The 3,249-nt window shown below is 43.4% G+C and overlaps 1 protein-coding gene across 1 annotated transcript in view; it reads right to left on the bottom strand.

Annotated features, from left to right (window-relative positions):
- SOD2 (superoxide dismutase 2) overlaps positions 1 to 3,249 on the bottom strand; it is a 93,213-nt gene that overhangs the window by 87,940 nt on the left and 2,024 nt on the right. The window lies entirely within an intron of this gene.

Here is a 3,249-nt window from a genome sequence, read left to right on the forward strand (position 1 = left end):
ACTGATTTTTACTAACAACATATCTGGTAATATTATATGAGTAAGGGGTGTTAGAATGTAGGTAGGAGAAAATGTTTTTAAGGTGGAAGAATGTCAAAATTTGCTCCATTTTCTCAGAGGTAATTAAGTATAAAAGTATGATATTGAATGGCCTTCAAATGTGTAGCTTTCATATATGGTTGAAATGAAATTCCATTTCTGTTAAAAGCAAAGTATTGTTTTAGACATAACTTGTAATACAATCAAGGAACCTTGGGAGTGGAGTTATAATACTCGAAAACTGAGGTACAACTTATTTGAAAGTAATTGCTGCTTTTGCTTGTTTAGCTGATACAGGTATATCCGGTCTTCAGCAGTATGTTAAATACTGCACTGTCTCTTGATTAACCTTTTCTTTTTTTTCTTTTTCTCTTTTTTTTTTTTGCCGAGAGTCTCGCTCTGCCACCCAGGCTGGAGTGCAGTGGCACCATCGTGGCTCACTGCAACCTCCACCTCCCGGATTCAAGTAATTCTCCTGCCTCAGACTCCTGAGTAGCTGGGATTACAGGCGTGCGCCACCATGCCCGGCTTATTTTTGTATTTTTAGAAGAGATGAGGTTTCACTGTGTTGGCCAGGCTGGTCTCGAACTCCTGACCTTGTGATCCACCCACCTCGGCCTCCCAAAGTGCTGGGATTACAGGTGTGAGCCACCGCGCCCAACCTTGATTAACCTTTTCTACAGTCTGCTCAAGTGAGTAAAAAATCCTATACGATTTTTAATTTGCATGTGATTAAACATTTTGGTGTTTGATATATCAGATACTGTGTTTGGCTTTTGTTATGTACATCCTTCAACTTGACCAATTTAAACAAAAATGTAATTTCTCTGTCCTGTTGGTGTAATGTAATCAAGAGTTTGTGATAGGAAATTAATTTTTCAACCAGTGATACAATTTTATGACTGAATTTAATATGGACCTGTTAATGTGACATTTTCATGTTTCTGTTGAGTCTGCCTTGATGAATAACTCAGAGCACTTATTCTGTGGTACACAGAGTCAGTATTTCTCATTTCTGGAATTGGATGCTTTATTTTCTGGTATGCCTGTGATAAGAGAGGTGATAGAGTGGCTTCTGCATCTAATTGGTTTGAATCCTGGTATTACACTTAACTGATTTGGGCAAATGTATCCTCGAGGCTCGATATTTTGTTTTGTTTTTCTCCCCTGTAAGAGCACTCACTGCTGTCTTAGCTTGGGCTGCTGTGAAAAAAAAAAAAAACCACAGACTGGGTGGCTTTACACGCGCATTCCTCACTGTTTTTGGAGGCTGGGAAGTCTAAAGATCACAGTGCCCCCTGATTGGTGCCCCAGTTTGGTTCCTGGTAGTCCTCATACAGAGAGCGCAATAGATGTCAGTTTCCTTGGCTCCTCAGGTGTATTGGATACAACTGACTACTCCAGTTTTTGAGACACTTTTGCAAAACAATGTAAAGCCATTCCTTCTGACAACTTACTTTCTCAGATGTTCCCTCTTTCATGAGTAGTTATGCCCTGTACTCAAATCATTGCCTGCTGCTCTACGTCACTGTCTTGGGAGTTCACCTATCCCTGTGGTTATAGTGAACACTTTCATAATCCCAGGTAATGTCATTAACTGATCTGGACCCATCATGGGGTGGCTGTGCTGAGGGAGTGTTGAGCTAGCCCCTAGTGGTAAGGAGTACACTGCTGACCTTCATCCTATGGCAATTCCACTTTGGTGATTCACTGTTCCCCTCATGGAGACCAAGGAGGAATTTGCTGCATGGTAGGTTGGTGAATCCAGCCTGTAGCAAAGACCTGGCTTGGACTCCTGCAACTCTTTATGAAACTTAACCAAGAATGATTGCATCTTCCAGCGGGGGAAGATGCTGAGAAGGCCCCTTCAGGATAAACTGGCTCCATAGCACTGCTGTAATGATGGCTCCTCATGAGTAAGCACTTGGAGATTTTTGTGGCTTCCTGCCCACTCACCCTGCTCACCAGTCCAGGTAGTTTATGATTTGAGATCTAGATGTAATTTTATTTTATTTCTTTTTTTTTTTTTGAGATGGAGTTTCGCTCTTGTTGCCCAGGCTGGAGTACAATGGTGCAATCTCGGCCCACCACAACCTCCGCCTCCCAGGTTCAAGCAATTCTCCTGCCTCAGCCTCCCTAGTAGCTGGGATTTACAGGCATGTGGCACCACGCCCAGCTAATTTTGTATTTTAGTAGAGACAGAGTTTCTGCATGTTGGTCAGGCAGGTCTTGAACTCCCGACCTCAGGTGATCTGCCCGCCTCGGCCTCCCAAAGTGCTGGGATTACAGGCATGAGCCACCGCGGCCGGCCAAGACATAATTTTAAAAATTATCTTCCAGCTGGCCGGGCGCGGTGGCTCACGCCTGTAATCCCAGCACTTTGGGAGGCCGAGGTGGGCGGATCACAAGGTCAGGAGTTCGAGATCAGCCTGACTAACATGGTGAAACCCCGTCTTTACTAAAAATATAAAAATTAGCTGGGCATGATGGCACGGGCCTGTAATCCCAGCTACTCAGGACTCTGAGGCAGAAGAATCGCTTGAACCCGGGAGGTGGAGGTTGTGGTGAGCCGAGATAGCGCCACTGCACTCCAGCCTGGGTGACAGAGCGAGCTCCGTCTCAAAAAAAAAAAAAAAATTCCTCTTCTTTCCTTCATTCATTATTCTTAGTCTCTGTCTGTCTCATATGAGTAGATAATCATATGAGTAGCTATAATGAGGACTCCTCAGGGGACAGATTCTGTTTGGCCACTCAGCAGAAGCATGCAATTACCTTCTCAAGATTGGCTCCTAAACTTACTCTAGATAGAGCCTTCAGGCAGGAAACTCTATATCCCTTGGCTCCAGAAGAATATATTCATACTCATTCAAATGTGCTAGGCACTGGCCATAAAGAATATTGGTGTTCATTCATAACTGCCTATAATGTGCTAGGAGCTGTGCATAAAGCAGTGTAACAGGATCATCTTGGAAAGCTTATGTAGTCAGTAGAGGAGACAGATAAACTAGGAATTACATGGTAAGTTGAAAGAGGAAGTTAGGGGTAAGATGCTGCACCAAATGCAGGAGATTGGAAGGTTTTTCTGGAAGAAGTGATGTTTAGGGGGAGTTTCAGAGGTAAATTTCTGGTTTGGTTAACAGAAGATAGTTTCACTGCTCACTGAGATTACAGAAGAAACAGGCTGGAAGAGTTTGGTTTCAATATGTCAAA

The sequence above is a fragment of the Homo sapiens genome, chromosome 6 (assembly GCF_000001405.40).
Source record: "Homo sapiens chromosome 6, GRCh38.p14 Primary Assembly".
Taxonomy (NCBI): domain Eukaryota; kingdom Metazoa; phylum Chordata; class Mammalia; order Primates; family Hominidae; genus Homo; species Homo sapiens.